This window comes from Homo sapiens, chromosome 10, assembly GCF_000001405.40.
Source record: "Homo sapiens chromosome 10, GRCh38.p14 Primary Assembly".
Classification (NCBI taxonomy): Eukaryota; Metazoa; Chordata; class Mammalia; order Primates; family Hominidae; genus Homo; species Homo sapiens.
In genome coordinates this window covers 90,837,304-90,860,387 of record NC_000010.11, presented here as the reverse complement: position 1 = coordinate 90,860,387, position 23,084 = coordinate 90,837,304, and the positions used below count along the sequence as shown (strand labels likewise).

The 23,084-nt window shown below is 41.6% G+C and overlaps 1 protein-coding gene across 3 annotated transcripts in view, besides 2 other annotated features; it reads left to right on the top strand.

The window, feature by feature from the left end:
- Positions 2,312-2,681: a silencer, noted in NCBI's record as "silent region_2601". NCBI's record gives its function as "represses an Ori minimal core promoter by ATAC-STARR-seq in GM12878 lymphoblastoid cells {active_cell/tissue: GM12878}" and the evidence as "EXISTENCE:reporter gene assay evidence [ECO:0000049][PMID:35858748]".
- Positions 2,349-23,084, top strand: part of HTR7 (5-hydroxytryptamine receptor 7) — a 117,217-nt gene continuing 96,481 nt past the window's right edge. For all 3 annotated transcript variants that reach the window (NM_000872.5, NM_019859.4, NM_019860.4), the window contains exon 1: positions 2,349-3,255. In NM_000872.5, the coding sequence (NP_000863.1) occupies positions 2,717-3,255 (539 nt within the window). In that variant the 5' untranslated portion in view covers positions 2,349-2,716. The remainder of the gene's footprint in view (positions 3,256-23,084) is intronic.
- Positions 2,702-2,751: a silencer, noted in NCBI's record as "silent region_2600". NCBI's record gives its function as "represses an Ori minimal core promoter by ATAC-STARR-seq in GM12878 lymphoblastoid cells {active_cell/tissue: GM12878}" and the evidence as "EXISTENCE:reporter gene assay evidence [ECO:0000049][PMID:35858748]".

Below are 23,084 nucleotides of genomic sequence, written 5' to 3'. Positions count from 1 at the left end.
GCTAAATTTACTGTTGCCTTGTTCTTGGTAAATGTTTGTTGTTAAGCCACCCAGGCTATGATATTTTTGTTATGGCATCCCAAAGGGACTAAAACAAGACAAAAGCAAAAACTAGAAGCTGTTGTGAAATATAAATGGGCTACGTGAGGGCTGTAAGAGTGTAGGTGGTAAATCATATTGACTAGAGGTTTAAATACAAATAAAATGATTAATTTTCAAAATCTGTGTGTAATTACTCTGGAATATTATTTGACAGAGCCAAGACAGAATATATAAGCTGAACTGATTAGGGTATTCAAGGGGAAGAATACAAAAGTCAAAATAAGTTAAAATGAGTTGAAAAGTTAAAATGAAAAAAATATCAAAAGTATCTTGGGGAATATACTACATGAAGGAATTTTTAAAAGACCTTAAGACAATTCCAAACCTCAAAATAAAAAAATGGAGACATTTCAATGCAGTCACATATGATCTTGGATAAGTTATAAAATTTCTCCCAGCCTCTATTTCCTCCTCTGCACTGAAGGGTGAACAAATGGTTTCTTAGATGCATTCCAGCAACAAACTATTTGTCTTTTGTCTGAGATTTCCTCTCTCCCAAGATCCCCAGTGGATGCCTAAAACCCCGGATAGTACCCAATCGTATATATACTATGTTTTTTTTTTTGATCTGGTAAGAGAGAGGGCTACTAAGTGACTAATGGTGGATGGCATATACAGTGTGGATATGTTGGACAAGGGATGATTCATATCCTGGGTAAGATAGAGATTTCATCACGCTACTCAGAATAGTGTGCAATTGACAACTTACACATTGTTTATTTCTGAAAATTTCCATTTAATATTTTCGGACCGTGGTTCACCACAGATAACAAACCAAGAAAAGCGAAACAGAGAATAACTAACATAAGTAAGGTTGAAGAAATTTCCTCATCCATCTTAACTGTTAGATAATATTGCTTTGTGGCCTAGGTATTATATTCAACTCTTCCTCTGACTCAATGGATTGGTTTGCTTATCCTAGGCAGAGAGGAGCCTCTGAAATGTTGATCACAGCAAAAGAGCTGTGAACATTAGGGCTTTTTTTTTTTTCCATTAAAACTTTTTCTGAATGTGTACAGGGAAGAATATGGGCATAGTAATCAGATAAACTTGGGTTTGAAACATAACTATTCCTTACCAGCTGATTGCAAGAGCTAACAACCTTCCCTATCTGGAAAAACAGAGCTAATACCCACCTTGAAGAATGAAAGTACTATTCAGCACTCTGATCAATATACTTTGAGGTTTTTATTCCTTTTCTTCTTATTTATAATCCGCTAGGGCCTAACAAGAAAAAACAGATTTGATTATTTTTAGAGTCTTAAACTACAGAAATCACTGCTGGCTTCCAATGAAACCTTCAAACAAAATGGAATGAAGCAAGTCTCACAAATAATAAAAATCAGCCGCTCTGACAGGGTTTGGATACCAAGGGGAATTTTAGCCAATAGGTATTAAATCAACATACACCTCCAGGATTCCTTTATAGAAGAGTATAACCGGTCATTTCTTTGCTTATGTGTAAGACTTCCAGAATGCTACGGGAAAATTAACTCTCTTTTCAATATATTAGGCTTTGAAGTCTAAATATAAAGGCAATCAGGGTCTATTTTCAGAGCGGAGAGGACTGTTTCTAGACATCCAGGAAGGATTAGTCCAAATGGGTGTAACCCCCTTGGAGGCCTTGTCCCCAGAGCATCCTCATCTCCTGGGTGCCAGGGGCTTAAGGAATCCCCCTCCCTCCTTTTTTTCTTTCTTCCTCTTCTCGGAGCTCCCACCCTCACCCCATTCGGCTGCTTCTTTTCCATCTTCGCTTCTTCCCATAAGCGGTCAAAATAGAAAACGGAAGTACCTATTTGTTGCTTAGTGTAGTGCTCAGAGACGTTTTTTTGGTTGTTGTTTAATTAAGAAAAATAAAATCCCCCTCTAGGTTCTTCATTTCGCAATGAGCCCAAACATCCGCTGGCTCATTAGGCCTCTTAACAAAAGAAAAATGCCCCCACTGAACTGTGGCTGACTAGTGTGCGGAGGCTGGGGTCGGCTGGAGGGGTTCTAAGTATCTATCATGCGGCAAGGACAGCTTCCCGGGCGAGGGGACCCGGGATCCCGGGAGGCGCGTGCAGCGCCGCCCCCTCACAGTAGGGAGGCGCGGGAGAGGCGGCGGTGCCTGCCCAGCCCGGGTATCCCGTCCCAGGAGCGCGAGGGAGCGGGCAGCGGCCGGAGGCGGCGGCGGCGGGGACGCGGCGCGGCTGCCGCAGGGGAGCGGCGGCGGCGGCGGCGGCGGCGGCGGGCGCGAGGGGCGGGGCGCACTCCGCAACTTCTGCCGCTGCCGCCCGGGCGCTCTCGGCGCAGCCGAGCTGCTGCTGCGAACTGTGGAGCTGCCAGCGGAGCCCAGCCCGAGCTCCCTCGACTCCGCGCGTCCCAGGCGTCCGTCGGGGGCCGAAGCGCCTCCCGCAGGGAGTCCCCGTGAGGCCGCGCTGCCGCGTTACCCGCAGCGGCCGGGGGTCCGGGGAGTGCGGGGCTCCGAGACAGAGCCAGGCGCCCCCCAGCGGTCGGCGCGGGCCCCATGGCTGGGCCGGGCGGAGCGGAACCGGTGAGGTGAAGCCCCGGGGCCGGCAGCCGGAGGCGCGTGGCCGGGGCGCCGGCTCCATGGGCAGCGGCACACGGCGGCGCGATGATGGACGTTAACAGCAGCGGCCGCCCGGACCTCTACGGGCACCTCCGCTCTTTCCTTCTGCCAGAAGTGGGGCGCGGGCTGCCCGACTTGAGCCCCGACGGTGGCGCCGACCCGGTCGCGGGCTCCTGGGCGCCGCACCTGCTGAGCGAGGTGACAGCCAGCCCGGCGCCCACCTGGGACGCGCCCCCGGACAATGCCTCCGGCTGTGGGGAACAGATCAACTACGGCAGAGTCGAGAAAGTTGTGATCGGCTCCATCCTGACGCTCATCACGCTGCTGACGATCGCGGGCAACTGCCTGGTGGTGATCTCCGTGTGCTTCGTCAAGAAGCTCCGCCAGCCCTCCAACTACCTGATCGTGTCCCTGGCGCTGGCCGACCTCTCGGTGGCTGTGGCGGTCATGCCCTTCGTCAGCGTCACCGACCTCATCGGGGGCAAGTGGATCTTTGGACACTTTTTCTGTAATGTCTTCATCGCCATGGACGTCATGTGCTGCACGGCCTCGATCATGACCCTGTGCGTGATCAGCATTGACAGGTAAGGGCCGGACCGCCCCGTCCCAGGCTCCGGCTGGGGACCGGCTGGCAGCTCAGCCCCGCGCGCTCGCCTTTCCTGGGAGGATCAAGCTAGACTTCAAGGCGGGATGAAGGGCTGCGCTTAAAACACCGCTCCCCCCAATCCACCCTACACCAACCAAACTTCGGTTACGGCATAGCCTATGTACATCTTTAAAAGAAAAACCGGAAATGTTCTGGTTTACTGTAGTGACGAATTTAAGACCAAAGTTAAGAGTATTTTAAGCCTTAGCATTTCCACCAGCGGGTCCCTTGCCTTGGTTTTTGGAAGGAAGGGATTTGGTGCTCCCTGACTTGATCAAGCCTTGCTGTGAGCCTTAAAGAGTCATTAAAAAATAATAATAATAAGTCGGAGAAAAGCCACCTTGCTTACCCCATTGTGGGAGCTACTCCCTAGGCCAGTAAAAGGACCTTGGATGGTTCTAGAATTGGGGTTTGTATGTCTTACACATTGCATCTTTATGATGGTCAGTTCGGAATCGCATTCTTGCTTGTGGAAGTCTGGTTTCAATGTTTGGTAATGCTGTCTGTATCTTGCGAGCTTGCTGACTGGAGCCTTCCTCCAGGTCTGAATGGCTGGTTCTAGCCTTTCATCATAGCCCTTGGGAACCTTCTCTTGAGAACTCCCCCACTGGAGTAATTGAAACAGAGGCTGACCATCTGTCAGGGATGCTAGGGGAAAAATTCCTGCCTTGGGTGTCATATTGAACTAGGAGACCCACAGGGTTTCTTCAGGCTGTAAGGTTACAGGCTTTTGAAATGGAGCTAGTCTTTGACCCTTGAAATATTATGCAGTTGACAACTTGAAGTATGGTCTCAATCCTCTTTGGCCTAAAACAACTCTATTTCACTTGAAACTGAAATATGAGACCTTAATATTCACACTCAGAATTTTGCCGGTGTTTCAAGACTAGTATCCTGTTGTGTTTAATGATACAGAGAAATGGTTGCTTATTTTCTTAGTGGATCTATAGAACCTTTATATGTGTAGATCTTTCAGCCTAGGGGAAATAATTGATGCCTCCACACTTAAAATGACAGTGCCTCAAAGGATGGTCTAGCATGAAACTGAGATTTTCCTTTTTTTCTTCTTGAAAACACTGCTGTTTGTGGTTTGCTGGTACTTAAAATGTTCTGCTGTATGTATTTTTTGCTTGACCAGGGTTTATAATTACTAAATAAAGGAAATAATAGAAAAGGGAATATTTTCAAGAAGAAAAACACATTGTAGCTCCATTTAGCTAACAATTTAGGTTATTTTTCTTTAAATTGATTCTACCATTTTATATATCATGGTAGAAGCTGCTGACAGCAAACAAGGAATTACTTAAGAGCAGAGCATGAACTGCATATGTGAGAATATTAGCACCAAATTTGGCAGCTGAAGTTCTGAATTACAGTAGTTAAGAATGACAAAACATATGTATTTACAGTCTGACTGTGGCAACTGGAATTAGGAGAGTGCACTCAATACACATAGTAAGTGTATACATGAATTATAAGCACAGAAATCTGACTGCTCAGCCAACCAAAACAGAGCATCCTGCATGAATGGAGTCCTTTTAAATGGAACTTAGTGTAATAAAACAAATAACGGTTTATGCTGCAAGTACTGTATTTATAACCATTTTTTAAAATTTCACAGTTGATAAATGATACATAAATAATACCTTGTGCTAATTTGTCTCCTAAGACAGCCAGTGTTTCTCCTCTTCTGGGCTACATTGAGGTTTGGCTGAGATCACCTTGTGATTCCTATACATGAGCTAAAGGCATTCTCCACTCAGCGTGCATGTGTGACTTAGCATCGGCAGGCATGTCCTGAATACTGAGAAGACATTAATCCTTCTTGGCAAGAGCTTAAGATTTTGTTGTTAACTGTATTCTTATGATTGTCACAAATTGTGGTAACATAGGCATATAGATTCTCCTTTTACCTATGAGAATTGCCCCATTGGTGAATTCTGCTTAAAAATTATTTTAGAAGATCAGCATATCATTTCTTTAGAGAAAATGAAGAATTGATAAAATTGGAAGACACAGACTGATTTTCTTCCAAGAACACTGAGAACTAAAAATGAGAAAAAAGGAAAATATATTATTTCTGAAAAGCATGTTTTCTGCAATTCCGTTGTAGAATATGACAGATGATATTAAATGTGCTGTGAAAATATGTAAAAAAAAAATCTTCATTCCCTTGTTCATTCCCTCTTGAGTACCTAATATAGGTTACACTGTGCTTTGTGCAGCATAATCAAAGATTAATTACAATATTGTTGCTTTTGTGCTCATTACAGGCTTTTGTGTATTTGGAGAGTTTGGATATCTGTTGGGCATTTAGCCTGTCTAAAATGGAACCTTTCATTTTTCTTAACCACTCCCCATCACACCGGGATGCTTTTCTAATGTAATGCCATACTGTTTTTCACAGGCTTCAGAGCTCCCATCCCGTCTTTTTCAGAAAATGATTTGTATTCATTGAAAAAGTAGCAGCCATCAGATGAGAACTTTTATCTTTCCCCCACCAAACAATCTGATCTGTCCTGCATGTGTACCCTTCTTTTTACTTCTTTCCAGTTAAAAAGCAAAAAGACATTGTGAGCCAGCAAATACCAAACTACTTGGACTTTATATTCCATCTCCCCACCTTCTCAAGGTCTTTGTTCCTTTATTGTTTCTTCATGGATGGTCTTTTTTGTTGTTATTGTTTTGTTGTTTTTTTGGGGGGAGTGAGGTGGAGGGGGACAGAATCTCACTCTGTTACCCAGGCTGGAGTGCAGTGGTGCCATCTCTGCTCACTGCACCCTCCGCCTCCTGGGTTCAGGTGATTCTCGTGCCTGAGCCCCTGCAAATACCTAGGATTACAGGTGCACGCCACCACACCCGGCTAATTTTTGAATTTTAGTAGACACGGGGTTTTGCCATGTTGGCAAACTCATGACATCAACTGATCCGCCCACCTCGGCCTCCCAAAATGCTGGGATTACAGGCGTGAGCCACCAGGCCCAGCTTATTGATGGTCTTTCTTCAGCTTTTCCTTTCTACTGTGTCAAGTTTGGTTTTCTATCTTTTAAAACCCTTCTTTGGCCTCTGGCCTCACTTCTTCCTCCAGCCACGGCTCTGCTTCACAGTTAAGCTGCTCAAAGAATTGTATCCATAAGTTGTCTTTTCTTCCTTGCGCTTTAGATAGATGACTTTGATGCTCATCAGGTTTACTGCAATATTCTAATTGGCTTTCCTGGTTCCACTTCTGTCCAGCCCCGAGCTATTCCCTAAGAAGAAGCAAGAATGGTCTATTTAGAAACTTTTTAAAGTGAGATAATTTACATATAATGGCATGCACAGATCTTAAATATTCAATTTGTATGTTGACAAATATATATACCTATGTGACTAATGTTCTAATCAAGATATAGAATATCTTGTCATCCAAGAAAGTTCCCTTGTGCTAATTTAAGAATGATCTTTTAAAAATAGAAATCAAATTACCAGCCAGATGTGGTGACTCACAACTGTAATCCCAGCACTTTGGGAGGCTGAGGCTGGAGGATTGCTGGAGCCCTGGAGTTCAAGACCAGCCTGGGCAACACAGGGAGACTCCCATCTCTACGGAAAAAAAAAAAAGAAAAGAAAAGAAACAAAAAAGCCAGGCATGGTGGCAAATGCCTGTGTTCTCAATTACTTGGGAAGCTGAGGTGGGAGGATCACTTTGGCCCAGGAGGTTGAGGCTGCAGCGAGCCAAGATTACACCACTGCACTCTAGCCTGGGCAATAGAGTGAGGCACTGTCTTAAAAAAAAAAAAAAAAGAAAAAAAAAAGAAATCAAATTACTTTTTATGCATAGTTTTAAAACATGAAAAATAGTTTTACATATCATTTAGGGAAGCTTGTAGAAAGAGTAAAAGTATAAAATAGTGCAAGGGAGTGGTTGACGCCAAATTCAGGACAGTGATTTATCTCTGGTGGGGTGGGTGGTGGTGTAATCAGTAGTATATATATCACCTATATTGGTAATGTTTTGTTTCTTAATCTCGGTGGTGGATATAGACTTATTATCCTTTGTATAACTTTTTGTATGACTGAAATATTTGTTAAAACTTTTTGAAATTCATATAGAAAAGTATATGTATGTGCACAATTCTAAGGATGAAGCTTGATGAATTTCCACATCCATGTAAACAACTATATTAAGAAATAGAACACTGGCAACCTCCCAGAGGTCCCCTCCTCTCCTTTTCTAGTTTCTATTGCTTGCAAAGGGAACCATTGTCCTGACATTAGCATCATGCATTGGGGTTTTGCTTGGCTAGAACTTCATATAAATGGAATTGTATAGTATGTACTCTTTTGAATCTGGCTTCTATTTCTCAACATAATGTCTGTGAGAGTCATCTGTAGTTTTTAGCCTATCAGTGGTTCATTCATTTTTATTGATAAGTAGTATTCCGTTGTATAAATATACCATAATTTGCTTATCCATTCACCGTAGATGGACATTTGAGTTTTTTTCTAGTTTCTGGCTATCTCTAATAGTGCTGCTCTGAACATTTATTTATGTGCAAGTCATTTGTGGATATGTTTAAATTTATTTTGGGGAAATACAATCCTAGGTAATAAGGTACTTTGGAACATTTTAATTTTATCTATCCCCTCACACCTTTTATGTTATTATTGTCATTCATTTTAGGTCTACAGATTATTAAAACCCATTAGATATTATTTTTATTGTTGTAACAGTCCGTATTCATTCTTCTTTGCTTACATGTTTATCTTTTCCATTGTTCTTTGTTTTGTTCTGCATTACTACATTTTCATCTGAGATCATTTTCTTCTGCCCAGTTAGATGCCTATTAGCATTATTATTTTTTTAAATTAAAAACTTTTTTTTTTTTACTTCACATAAAGAGACAGTCTCGCTATGTTGCCCAGGCTGGTCTTGAACTCCCGGCCTCAAGTAATTCTCCCACCCTGGCCTCCCAAAGTGCTGAGATTACAGATATAAGCCATCATGCCCGGCCCAGCATTATTTTTTTACTGAATGTATTAGTCTGTTCTCATGCTGCTAATAAAGACGTACCCAAGACTGGGTAATTTATAAAGGAAAGAGGTTTAATTGACTCACAGTTCCACAAGGCTGGAGAGGCCTCACAATCATGGTGGAAGGTGAAGGGGAAGCAAGACATGTCTTTCATGGCAGCAGGCAAGAGAGAGCTTGTGCACGGGAACTCCCATTTATAAAACCATCAGATCTTGTGAGACTTATTCACTACCAGGAGAACGGTATGGGGGAAACCACCCCCATGATTCAGTTATCTCCACCTGGCTCTGCCCTTGACATGTGGGGATTATTACAATTCAAGGTGAGATTTGGTTGGGGACACAGCCAAACCATATTACTGAGGGTTTGCTAGTGACAAATCCTCTCAATTCTTACTTGTCTGAAAATGTCTTTGTTTCAGCTTCCTTCTTTTTTTTTTTTTTTTTTTTTTTGGGACGGAGTCTCACTCTGTCGCCCAGGCTGGAGTGCAGTGGTGTGATCTCAGCTCACTGCAAGCTCCGCCTCCTGGACTCACACCATTCTCCTGCCTTAGCCTCCAGAGTAGCTGGGAGTACAGGCGTCTGCCACCACGCCCTGCTAATTTTTGTATTTTTAGTAGAGACGGGGTTTCACCTTGTTAGCCAGGATGGTCTTGATCTCCTGACCTCATGATCCGCCCGCCTTGGCCTCCCAAAGTGCTGGGATTGCAGGTGTGAGCCAACGCACCCAGCCTCAGCTTCATTTTTGAATGATATTTTCACTGAGTATGGAATTTTATATTTCTAGTTTTTTTCCCCAGAACTTTAAAACATTGTTCCATTGTCTTCTGACTGCCATCATTTCTGTTGAAAAATCAGCCATTAGCCAACATTATTATCACTCCATGGAAGGTAATGTGTCTTTTTTACCCTGACTTTTAGGGTTTTGTCTTTGCCTTTAATTTTTATCAGTTTTTCTGTGATGTCTCTAGGTCTGGCTTTATTGATTTTTTTGTTGTTATTGTCGTTTATTTACTGTTAACCCTGTTTGGGGTTCCTAATGATTTTTAAAATTTGTGTATTGATATCTTTAATCAGTTTGCTGTTATCTCGTCAAACACTACTACTGTTCCATTCTTTACTTCTCTATGTCTTCAAACATATGTATTGTAGACCTTTTTACTCTGTCACACATATTTCTTACTCTTTTCTATATTTTCCATTTTATGTTTTACATCTGTGCTTGAGTTTTGAAAAAATTTTGACCAGCCTTCCAATTTGTTAATTGTCTCTTCTACTATGTCTAATCTGTTGTTCAACCTTATCTATTGAGTTAATTTCCATAATAGTATTTTACAATTCTAGAAATTCCATTTAAGCTTTTTAAACTGATTCTGATTTTTTTGGTGAAATTCTCTACCTTTTCATCTAATTTCTTCATCTTGTTATATTTTTTAGTGTATTAATCATAGTTTGACTCTTCGTTTCCTGACTCCAATATCTGAGTCACTTGTGGTTTCTTTGTGTGATCTGTTTTTTTCTCTGGGTTTTTGGTCTGTGTCTTGGCATGCCTAGCAAATGTTGATTGTATATTCATCATATTGCATGAAAAATTGTAGATGCTGTAGATGATGTTATTTTGTTCCAGAGAAAATGCTAGGCAGGCATATTGGACAACTGATTATTTTAATCCAATTAGGGACTGAGCTGAACATAGGCTGTATTTTAGTTCTGTTAGAGCTCTGCCACTGGCAGATGCCTCTTTCTAGGATGTAGCCTTCTTAGGATTTTAGCCCAATGACTTCCACCCCTGGCTAGTTCAGAACTTTAAATGTTCTTTCCTCAAAACTGTAAGACTATCAAGCATGGCTTCTTAGCCTCCTGCCTTATGCAGTCTCAGAATTCAGCAAATGTTTTGAGGGAACTAACAGGTGCTGGGCTTAGGTTTCACTGGCATCTTTGCCTTTTAGGCCTCTGACTTTTGCCTCTCTATCTCCAAGAGACTGCCAAGTGCTCTTCTGGTGTTTTTGCCCCTTATTAGCAACTCTCTGCTGAGGCTCTTTACCTGGATCCTTAGCCCCTTACCCTTCACCCAATTTTGGCAAGTGCCCCAAGGGAAAGAGCAGCTGCACAATATTGGCTTGCCTCCCTGTGCTTCTGTCTTCTCTAGGATTTTGTTCCCTGAAGTCCTGGTTGTCTCAACAACTGCTTGATGCTTTCGGGCATCATAGCGTGCATGCGTGTGTGAGTGTGTGTGTATTTGTGCTTTATCCAGCTTTTAAAGTGGCTTTCAGCAGAAGCATTGGTCTGAAGTATCAAACAACCCCATCATGGCTAGAAGTGGCTATGTGCCTGAAATATTTTAAATGTATGCTAATATAGAAATATAATTATGTAAATTTCCTGCTTAAAATTTTTAATTTTCTTTTCATTTCACTTGGAATAAAATTCACTCTTTAGCACATGTAGGAGGTCCTTGGTTTGTCCCTGCCTCACTCCTCAACATCTTGAACTGCATTCTGTCTTGTTCGCCACATTCCAGTCACATTGACCTTTCTCAGTTTCTCTATTGTACCAGATTCTTTCCTGCATCGGGTTTACTCCATGAAAACTCACCAACTAATATATTTGTGAAACTGATTTTACATCTGAAGTTCTGTTCTCTAATATGTGTTTTTTTTTTAATTCTAAGTTGGAAAGTTTAAGTGTTTAACCCTCTAGATTGACAACAATTAAAATGTCAAAAAACTACCAAGTGTTGGGAAGGATATGGAGCAAAGGGAATTTACATACATTACTAGTGGGATTATAAATTGGTGAACTACGTTGCAAATAGTTTAGTGTTATCATGTAATGTTAAAAATACATACACCCTAAGACCCTGTTATTTTATCACCAGGTACATATCAGAAAGATGCTTGTCCACCAAAAGTCTTCTACAAGAATATTTATAGAATCCACAAACTTGAAACCTTAAAACTTGAAATAATACACCTGTGTGTCAGTAGTAGAATGAATAAATAAATTGTGGTATATTCATACAACAGAATGCTATTTAGGAGTGTTTATCAAACTTGAATGTGCATCAGAACTACCTGGAGAGCTTATTAAAACACAGATTGTTGGGCCTAACCCCAGACCTTACCAAATCAGAAACCTTACCCCAAGAGTTTCTGATTTCAAAAGTCTGGGGTTGGGCTAAGAATTTACAGTTCACATAAATTCCCAGGTGATTCTGATGCTTCTGGTCTTGGGATCTTACTTAGAGAAGTATTGCTATACAGCAATGAAAATGAACAAATTCTAACTACACCCAGCAACCAAGTGAATCTCATGAAGTAATTTAAATGATTTTTTGTTATATAAATTTTGAAACATATTTTAAAGTCAAGTATACTATAATGAGTCTGATGTATCCATCATCCATCTTCAACAGTGATCAACTTATGGTCGATTTATTCAAAATATACTTTGCAATTCTTCCTTCATCCAATTATTTTAAATCAAATTTCAGATGTCATATCATTTCACTGATAAATATTTTATGGTTACAAATGTAAGGCTGAGCAGAAGCAGCAAAATATAAAGTATATACATATGTGATTCCATTCAAATAAAAATTTTAAATAGACAAAAATATTTTTAGGGACGTACATAAGTGGTAATATTATAAAGAAAAGGAAGGAAATATATATCATAAGAACAAAGAGGCCAGGCACAGTGGCTTACACCTATAATGCCAGCATGCCAGCACTTTGGAAGGCTGAGGCGGGCAGATCACCTGAGGTCTGGAGTTCGAGACCAGCCTGACCAACATGGAGAAACTCCGTCTCTACTAGAAATACAAAATTAGCTGGGTATGCTGGCGCATGCCTGTAATCCCAGTTACTCGGGAGGCAGGAGAATCGCTTGAACCCGGGAGGCCGAGGTTGCGGTGAGCCGAGATCGCGCCATTGCACTCCAGCTTGGGCAACAAGAGCAAATCCTGCCAAAAAAAAAAAAAAAAAAAGAACAAAGAGAGAGTGATTGCTTTTAGATGGGATGGAGAAAACTGAGATCAGAGCGGCATGCTTCTAAGGTGGTGTAGTGTTTTCTTTCTTGACTGGAGTGGTAATTACACAAGGGTTAACTTAATTATTGTTAAAGTGTCCATGTATATTTTAGGCACTTTCCTGTATATGTATTTTATTTTATAATGAAAGGGGCAAAAGTATGTATTTGATACATCTCTTGAGGTATATTTGGATTAAGTCAGATATATGATTAATCTGAGCAGATACAGTTATTGTTTTAATGCTGTCAGCAACCATTAGTTTTTAGCTTTGTGTATGAGGGCAGGGGCCACCTTTGGGTTGTTCATGGTTACAGGAACTCATCTGCCTTATTTGCAAGAGCTGTAATATTTAGCTCTGATTGGTATCTGGCTGAAGCCTTGCTTCCTCGCCAGGTACTATGACTCATTCCCTCTGATGATCTGAGTTCTGCTTTTGGCTTTAATTCTGCTTCAATCAGCAGGGCAGGGTGCATTCTGGCTTCTCCAGACTCCTTTCACTTCAAAGGAAGTTATCCTTGCTCATCTCTAAAATTAATTTTCTGCTTGTAGATACATTTTAAGAATTGATGGAATCTTCTTCTGGCTTTGCTATGGGAAAGTGAGAAGGAGATGAAATGGGTCTTCTGCCCTGTTCTTTTGTGTAGTAACACTTAGCCACCAACTGCTTTTTTTTTTCCTCTCATGTTAACTAACAGGAAGTAATGCTTCAGGGTAGAAATGATAATAGCTAATAGATGTTTAATGATTTATTGCTTACAGACCACTCCCAAATACAGAAATCTCCACTGATCCCCTCTACAACATTGTGAGGTGGGCATCAGTATCCCCACTTGATGTAGGAGGAACTTGAGGCTCAGAGGGTAGAAGTGACTTGACAAGGACATACAGTTTGTATGGATGGAACTTGTGTTCAAAGCTTGTTCAAATATTGTGTATTTATTTATATCTATGTGTGTAAATATATCTAAGGAAAATAATAAAAGTGGAGACATGGAACATTCCAGTCAAAGGAGCAGCAGATGCCAGGAACACAGAGGCAGTGAATCAGTGTTTGAATGAACTCACAGAGAGGGAGCAGGAAGGCATTCTGAGTGAGGGAATAGCATAGGAGAAGCACAAGTCAATAACCCTTCACCCCTTGCAGTAGATACTGCTGGTTGCCTACCCCAATCTCCGTCCTCCCCTTCCCCCTTTAGTTATGGGAATTCCTGCTTTGACCTGGGAATATGGCTGCCCAGAATAAAGGCTGCATTTCTTAGCCTCCCTTACAGCTAGATGTGGCCATGTTACTAAATTTGGGCTTGAGAGATGTTAGTAGAAGTATTATGTTTCAGCTTCCCAGAAACTGCCTTCAAGAAAATTGGTGTGTGCCGTCTTCCTCTTTTCTGTCCTTTCCTCCATCTTCTTGCCTGGAATATGAAGATGGTGGCTAGAGCTCTGGCCACTTAGTCAAGATGGACAAAAATGGTCATGCTTGTTAAAGAGGAGCAGTATGCTGGAAGGGTAGCCTGGATCGTGGAGGACTGTCAACTCCACAGAATTGCTGGAACCTTGACTTCTTACTAATTGATGAACTAATACCATTATGTTGTTTATCACATGCAGCTGAACTTAATCTCAACTGCTAAACCTAGTACAAATTGGGCATCCCTGATCTGAAAGTCTGAAACCCAAAATGCTCCAAGATTAGAATCTTTGAGTACTGACATGATGCCACAGGTAGAAAATTTCACACCTGACCTCATGTGATGGGCACACAAAATTATTTAGAATATTGTATAAGATTACTTCATATCATTTCACTGATAAATATTTTGATTTTTGGGTACAAGGTAAATATAGAACATAAATGAATTTTGTGTTTAGACTTAGGTCCCATCCTCAAGATATTTTATTATGTATATGCACATATTTCAAAATATAAAAAAGATTCTAAGCATTTTGGATCAGGGATACTCAACTTGTACACATTTCTTCTCCCTGTCACCCATCCTTCCCACAGATGTTTATATACACTTTTTTTTTCCACCTTGGCATATGATTCTATTTTGAGAACAGGCAAAAGAGAACAATGTGTCTGAAGTGCTGGTCAGCCACAGAATCTTGGGTGGCATTGGAACAGAGGGTGAGGTACCATGGAAACAAAATTCTTGGGCAGAAGATCACGGAGTGAAGGGTCCAGGGGGAAAGCTCATGGCTTCTGGGCACCAAGGGTGGCCATCCCATGCAGGCGGTGGTCTTCTTGGAGGCCAGCCATCATGTGCAGTGCCAGGAAGTCTCCAGATGCAGGGCGGTGACCACTGGGGCACCACCTACACTTTCTAAAACTTCATTGTGAGAGTGTCACTGGGTCATGCTTCTTTGGAAACCCTTCAGGGATAACACTACCATTTTATGAATGCGTTTTGTGCTACTTAGGTTTCTAGACACTTGACACATGGTATCTCATAGAATCTTTACAATATCCTTGTGAGGGTGTTTTTCGAGTGTCTGTCGTTGAGTGACTCTGCTGGTCAAAGATGAACAAGACATATATGAACACTTTTAATGCCATGCTATAGGTGAGGAAGCTGAGGAAGCTCACATACATTGTATGTGACTGGAACAGTGTCTGAATCCAAAGGTCATACGTATTTCACTACGTCATTGTAGCCATTGCCTGCTATATGAGGAGGATATTGTTAGGATAGCATTCAAGGCTCTTTATCATTTGATTGCAGTCCCTTACAGCTTTATTCTGGCCAACTCTCCGAAGACACCCTCCTTTTCAACACTACATCAGAACAGAAATAGTGCTCTTACTTCCGCACCTTGTTCCTCGTCCAAGGTTCCCATCCCAAAAAGTGCCATCAGTTTGCACCCAGTTGATTTGCTAGACATTTGAGTATCGTTTTTGAAACTTTCCACTTCAGCTTTCCACTGTCACTTACTGATCACCAAGTCCTCCTGATTGTGCCTACACAGCCCCCTACCCCCAGCAACTCAACTTCAGCCCCTATCATCTTTCAGTTGGGCACTCACAGTAGCCTCTTGGGGGTCTCTGGGTCTTCATCCTTGGCCCCTGTTAATGCGGGGTGCACAACCCTGGCTGCATGTTAGAATCACCTGGGCAACTTTATACCAGTGCTTGGGGAGACCCCCTAGAGATTCTTATTTAATTGATGCCAGATGGGCCTGGGCGTCACATCAGTATATTTGAAAATATCCTCCAGATGATCCCAATGTGCAGCCAGAGTGAGAACCCCTGAGCCAGACTGATCTTTTTTTTTTTTTTTTTTTTTTTTTTTTTTTTTTTTTTGAGACGGAGTCTCATTCTGTTGCCCAGGCTGGAGTGCAGTGGCACAATCTCGGCTCACTGCAAGCTACGCCTCCCGGGTTCATGCCATTCTCCTGCCTCAGCCTCCCGAGTAGCTGGGACTACAGGCTCCCACCACCACGCCCGGCTAATTTTTTTTGTATTTTTAGTAGAGGCGGGGTTTCACTGTGTTAGCCAGGATGGTCTCGATCTCCTGACCTCATGATCCGCCTGCCTCTGCCTCCCAAAGTGCTGGGATTACAGGCATAAGCCACTGCGCCCGGCCAGACTGATCTTTAAAACATAAAAATGTGATTATATCCATGGTTCCCAAACTCATCTGCATACCAGAGTCACCTAGGAATCCCCTCAAAATTCCAAAGCACTGGCCATACCAAGACTAATTAATTCATAATATCTGGAAGTGGGACTCATGCATCCATATTTTTTGAAGCTCCCTAGTCTAATGTGCAGATAGGTTTGGGCACTACTGGGTCATGCTGTTCTCCAGTTCAAACTATTTATTGGGTTCTCCTGGTCTTGGGATAAGATAGTAAATCTTTAATGTGACCTAAAATATTATATGATCTGGCCTCTGCCAATCTCACTAAATCAGGGGTTGGCAAACACTTTTTTTCTGTAAAGGTATAGACAGTAAATATTTTAAGCTTGTGGACTGTAAGGTCTCTGTTGCAACTCCTCAACTCTGCCACTGTAGCATGAAAGCAGCCATAGATAATATGCAAATGTGTGGGTGTGGCTGTGTTCCAATAAAGCTTTATTTATGGATACAGAAAACTGAATTTGATATAATTTTAACATGTCATAAAATAGCATTCTTCTCTTTGATTTTTTTCAACTACTTAAAAATACAAAGACCATTCTTAGCTGGGGGCCATACAAAAACAGACTGGGACCAGATTTGGTCTTACTGGAGCTTGCCAGCTTCTGCTCCAGATTTGATTTGGTCCCATTTAATTCTTTCCCTCCTTTCCTTCTTTCCCCCTTTCTTTTCTTCCACCTTTCCTTCTTTCCCCCTTTCTTTTCTCCCACCTTTCCTTCCTTTCTTCCTACCTACCACCAACTAACCAGTCATGTACCATACTGCCTCTCCTCCCCGTATTTTGGCAATTCTGGTCTTCTTTCAGTTCCTTGACACTGGGTCTTCACACATCTATTCATGTCTCCCCTGGAATATTCTTCTAGCTCTTTAGCTGGGTAATTTTTATCACTCTTCAGGCAGGTCCTTGATTAGATATTACTAGGTCATGACACATTTCTAGAATCCCCTGACTATCTTAAACAGTCTTTTAACACCTTGCACTTTTTCTTCCTAATTCTCACCTCAATTTGTAATTAATGGTTTGTAAAATTAACTGTAATAAAGTCATGATTTATGGGATCATCTGTACACTCTGCATAGCATGACCCAGGCTTATCTTGAAGACTGTATTGCCAGCCTGTTGGCATAGTACTTTGTACTTGGTAGGTGTTCAGTTAATCTTTGTGGATTGACTGCGGAAGGAAGGGAGGGAGGGAAGGAAGAAGGAACAAAAGAAAAAAAAAGGAGGGAAGGAAGTAGGAAGGAAGGAAAAAAAAGGAGGGAAGGAGGGAAGAAAGGGAAGAAAAAAGGGAATGGTGCCTCTGATTCTCAAATCCACACATGTGGCCTTGACTTCTTATTCTGCAGCTTCCTATAAGACATTCCTCTTGGTGGCAGTGGAGAAGTTTACTTGAGAAACCAAGTTAGGATCAGGAGATGTCTGGTGAAAACAGAAGCAGTGTAGAGGCAGTGGGACAGTCCCAAGGGATGGCCTCATGAGAACATAGTAGGCTGGTGAGTTACTTCCTGTTCTGCAGAACACCGACATTAGCAAAGCTGCCAGTGATGTGAAGGTCTTAGCAGCTTAGATCCAGGAGTTAGCTTTTTAGTATCATCAGTGCTGTGCTATGGAGCAGTGTGAGAACATAGGCAAAATTAAATGAAAATCTCAGGGTCCTTTTTTTTTTTTCACTAAATAAACACATTTTTGATGAAGGCCACACATCCCAGAAAGAAAGCCATGGGTGTCAGCCATGAAGGCAATACCCAAGTAGAGGAGCATAGGAACTGACAGTAGCAATCCCATTGTTGGGTGCCAAGGGCTATGCATGATTCATCTCATTTAATCCCCATGACCACTCTGTGGGCACACTCACACCCCCACCCCTACTCCTGGGTGATGAGGACAGGGAGGCTGATAGAGGTTAGGAGTACACAGCAAGAAAGGAGTGGTATCAGGTTTGGCCATGAGGAATGTCTGACTCCAGATCTGTCTTACCCCTTCATGCTGCTATAACAAAATACCCAAGACTGGGTAATTTATAAACAACAGAAATTTGTTTCTCACAGTTCTAGAGGCTGGGAAGTCCAAGATCAAGGCACAGTCAAGTTCCATGTCTGGTAAAGACTGCTTGCAAGATGGTGCCTTGTTGCTGCATCGTCATGTGGCAAAAAGAACAGAGGGCAAAAGGGCCTAGCAAATTTACTCCAGCCCTTTTATGAGGTTGCTAATCCCATCCATGAGGGCTCTAACCTCATGACTTAATCACCTCCCAAAAGTCTGCCTCTTAATACTATCACATTGAGGTTCAAGTTCCAATATATGAATTTTTGAGGGACATATACATTCAAACCATAACAGGATCTTTTTTGTTGTTGTTGTTGTTGTTTTTGTTTTTGTTTTTCTTTGAGACAGAGTCTTGCTCTATGCCCAGGCTGAAGTGAAGTGGCATGATCTCGGCTCACTGCAACCTCTGTCTCCTGGGTTCAAATGATTCTTCTGCCTCAGCCTTCCAAGTAGCTGCGATTACAGTCGTGCACCATCACGCCTGGCTAATTTTTGTATTTTTAGTAGAGATGAGTTTTCACCATGATGGCCAGGCTGGTCTTGAGCTCCTAGCTTCAAGTGATCAGCCAACTTTGGCCTCCCAAATTGCTGAGATTACAGGTGTGAGCCATCACGCCCGGCCAGCAGGGTCTTCCAAGGCTCAAGGGGGCACTGGCTTTGTGAACATGATTTATGAACCATGTCGACCATGGACCATTTTCTCTTGCCTTTCAGAGAAGAAGATGATGTTAATAATAATTATTAGAATATAAATTTATAGTCTCATCTAAAACCCTTAGGATCAGAGGTATTTCAGAATGGAAGGGGGCCATGAGCCAAAGAATGGGAGAAGCCTCTAAAAGACGGAAAAGGTGATGAAATGAATCCTCTCTAGAGTCTCCAGAAAGGAACACAGCCTGTAGACACCTTGATTTTAGTCCAGGGACCCACATTTGACTTCTGACCTACAGAACTGCGGGATAAAAAATTTTTGTTGTTTTAAGCCACTGAGTTTGTGGGAACTTGTTATAGTACCAATAGAAATTAATACAACCAGTTTTAAGAACAAGGTCTGATTTCAGAGCTTTTCAGGCTTTAGATTTATGGTTAAGAAATTGTGGACCTGTAAGTAGTCTTAACTGTGCATTACTCAAGATACTAAGTGTCCTATTGAAGGCACTTTTATTATCGCTGTTTTACAGATGAGAAAGCTGAGGCTCCGAGAGGTTGACAAATATGCCTAAGGTTGCAGAACTAATAAGTGACCAGTCTGGGACTTGAAGCCATGGCTCTTTTTCTGTTTCATGGTCTGTGCTCTTAGACTGCTTGCTTCTAAGCAATTGTTGGTGCCTAGATTTGAGGCTTAAAGCTTTGACCAGTGTCAGGGACTGTACTTAATGCTGGGGATAAGGATGAACAAGTTAAAGATGAATACTGCCCAGGCCTTGGAGTCAACAGACCTGAGTTCAGGTCCCAAATTTGACATTTGTAGTTCTGTGGCCATGTAGACATTATTTAACTTCTTTGAGTTTCAGGATAGTCATCTATGACATAGGTAATACTAATGCCTTCCTCATAGGTTTGTGATAGTTAATTGGGTTGGTGTAGGTGAAGTCTTTTGTTGCATGCCTGGCTAACACCAATTGTGCTGATAAATGTGAGCTGTTACACTTATTAGTAGTGTTGTTGTGTTAATATTATGCTTCTCTAGTAAGGAACATATTGTTGTGAATAGAGGAGTCAGGTCTCTAAGAAAAATTTGAACAGTTCTTAAAAGTTGAAGGAGTTGAAAGAACAAGACAAACTCCATGCCTGTGTCACACAGGATTCCCTTCTCTTGGTTGCGGTGGCTGCTGTAAGTGTTGGGTGTTGAGGACACTTGCATTGCATACTGCAGCTAAGTTTTCTGCATGTTTGGGGTAGGAGAATGAAGCAGCCTATCTGATCACTTGGCTTTACTCCTTTCCAGTGTCATTCCAGGCACTTTTATTATCCCCATTTTACAGATGAGAAAGCTGCTGTCACTCCCTGCCATCAGTTAGATTTTGGGTTACGATGACAATTAAGGTATTATGGACTATCAGATCTAGTCCTTCACAGATTTAAGATAGAATCTAAGCAGTGAGCTCTAACAGAGAGGCCAGATGTGTGTGTGTGTGTGTGTGTGTGTGTGTGTGTGTGTGAGAGAGAGAGAGAGAAACAGATGGAGAGACAGACAGATGGAGAGATGGAGAGGAGAGAGGAAAAGATGATTGCATGCAAACCAAGTTAGAGAAGATGGTGGTGGTGAGATTTATTTAATAAGCAAACTGTTACTGCTTGCCTACTAGATATTTAAGAACTATGAGGATACAAAAGTGGATAAAGACACATTCCCATCCTTAACATGTTATCTAGTTGAGGGTAAATTAAGACTATTTCATTCATGTCAGAAAATTTAGAGCTTTTGAAAGTTAGGTTATAGATACTGCTTTACAGTCAATTCCTGTGTGATAGGACCTTTCTTGAAAGAGATATGAGTCATTTAGCTTCTGGTTGCAAACAATTGTGTTGTTTTATTAGCACTTCTGTCAATAAAAACCCTGGTATTCTCTGGTCTGTTTTCCAACAGCCTTTTTGTGCCTGAAGACTTCTTAAGGACCCCTGCAAAATGATGGCTCCTAGATCAAACCTAAGTGCTCACTCTTCTGATGTTGCGTGTTAAAGTAAATCTGGGATTGGGGACTATCTCTAGTGCATCTGTTTGGGGAGCTTTATTTCACCCATTTATCCAGTTTGTATTATCACTTTCATCATGGCCTCTGTTCTGATTCAAATCCCTGAGTATTCTGTTTTTCTGGGCATGCTTATAACATATTCCATTCTCTAAAAGAGAGGCAGCTACATAGCTTTCTTCCTTTTAAATGGTTTTTTTTTCATCTGGAACATGAGGCAGAACCATCTACCAAAAAGGGGCTATCAATATTTATGGTCAAACATGGGGAGACTTAAAAGGCATGCTCCAATCCATCCATAATCAATCTGGTCCAGTTGCCTGAATATTTCAGAATTATATTCCGGGAAATGTATATTCTGTATGTTTGGATTGAAAAGTCTCTGCTATTTTCAGTAGAAGTCTTTGAAAATTCTTTCATACTGATGAAAGGATTGTCTTACAATTTTTCATTTGATAGTTTTCTGAGTTCCACAGGCCCCTACTAATTGAGCTTCTTTTCTGGGCCACAAAGGTGATAGCCCTTTATTAGCAACTCCTTAGCATAATAAAATTGCCTTTTCTTATTATGTGAGTTATACAGGATTTATCTTTTTGCTTTTTTAATATTTATTGACTACCTAATCTATGTTGGTTAGTCTTCCTTATCATAAGCAAGGCAAATAACACCTTTGCTCTCTAGGATCTTATATTCTAGTAAGAATAAACAGGTAGATAAGAAACAGATAAGTTAAAACACACACACACACATTAATTTGTTAGTAATAAGTATCACGCACAATTAAAATAGGGCAATGTGTAAGAGTGGGTGATCATGGAGGGCCTTTCTGAGGAGGTGACATGTAACTGAGATGTAAATGACATGAAGGAGCCAGCTGTGTGAAGATCAGGAAAAAGAACTTTCTAGGCAAAGGCAGCAGCTGGCAGAAAGGCCCTGGGCCAGTGTGATTGGAGGAGAGAGACAAAAGGAAAACCTGGAAGGAGATGAGATTAGAGAAGTGTTGCAAATTATATTGGGATTCAGACCAGGTAAAGAGTTTGGACTTTATTCTAAGTGCGGCAGAACCACTGGAGACTTTGAAACATAGGGTGAAATGGTCTGGCTTTTAATTTTAATGGTTCATTGTGGTTACTTTGTGGAGAATGAAATGGAGGAGGGTGAGAATGAAAACTTGGAGACCAATGGGAAGGCTTCTACGTTAGTCAAGGCAAGAGGTAATCGTAGCTTGGACTGGGTTGGAGTAGTGGAGACAGAGACAACTGGAGAAATTCCGGATCTGTCTTGGAGGTGTATCGGCAGGCCTTGCTGATGGACTGGATGTAGGCGCTGAGGGAGACAGGCATGAAGGATGACTCTTGTGCTTTTGGCTCAAGCAATTCAGTAGATGGTGATACTGTTTACCAAGACATGATGGTAGTAGAATTGGTGGTAAAAATCAAGAGTTCTATTTTGATTGATAAATTTTATATCAATAGACATTTGAATATGAGTCTAGAATTCCAGAGAGAAGTCAGGACTAGAGGTAAAAAATTGGTTGTGATTGTAAATGATACTTCAGGCAATGGTGTGGGAGAGAGCAGATAGGAAAAGGGGTTTAAACACCAAGCTTTGAGGGATAAAATGTTTGGAGGTTAAGAGAAGGACCCAGCAATGCTTAAAAAGGGATGGTTAGTCAGTGCGATATGAGGAACACCTGTCATGGAAATTAAGGGGAAAGTGTTTTGACAAAGATGGAATATAATCAAATTGGTGACCTTGAAGTCATTGGTGATCTTGAGTAGTTTTAGTGAAGCAGTCAGATGGAAGCCAGCAAGAGTCAGGTAAAGAGAAGATGAGAGGAAAGGAGAGATGGCAGCTAGAAGCAACTCTTCCAAGAAGTTTTGCTGATAGGCACTCACCTGGAAGTCAAAGGACCTGGATTCCAGCCCAGATGTGCCGCACTGTAGTCTGATGATAATTGTTTGTGTTAGTCATTTTCTGTTGTTATAACAGAATACCACAGATTGGGTAGCTTATGAAGAAAATAATTTTATTTAGCACAGTGTTCTGGAAGCTGGGAAGTTCAAGAGCTTAGTGCCAACATCTGGTGACAGCCTTCTTGCTGCATCATAGCATGTTGAGAGGGCAAGAGCCAGAGAGCTAGAGAGAGAGTTCACTTTATAACAAAGCCACTCTGGAGATAATGAGCCCACTCCCATGGTAGTGACATTAATCCATTCATGAAGGCAGAGGGATTAAGTTTCCAACACATGAACTTTTAGGCAACACATTCAACCATATCATTGTTTATGTAAGTGTCTTATATTCCACTAGGATGCACAAAAACTTTGAGGTCCTTATTCA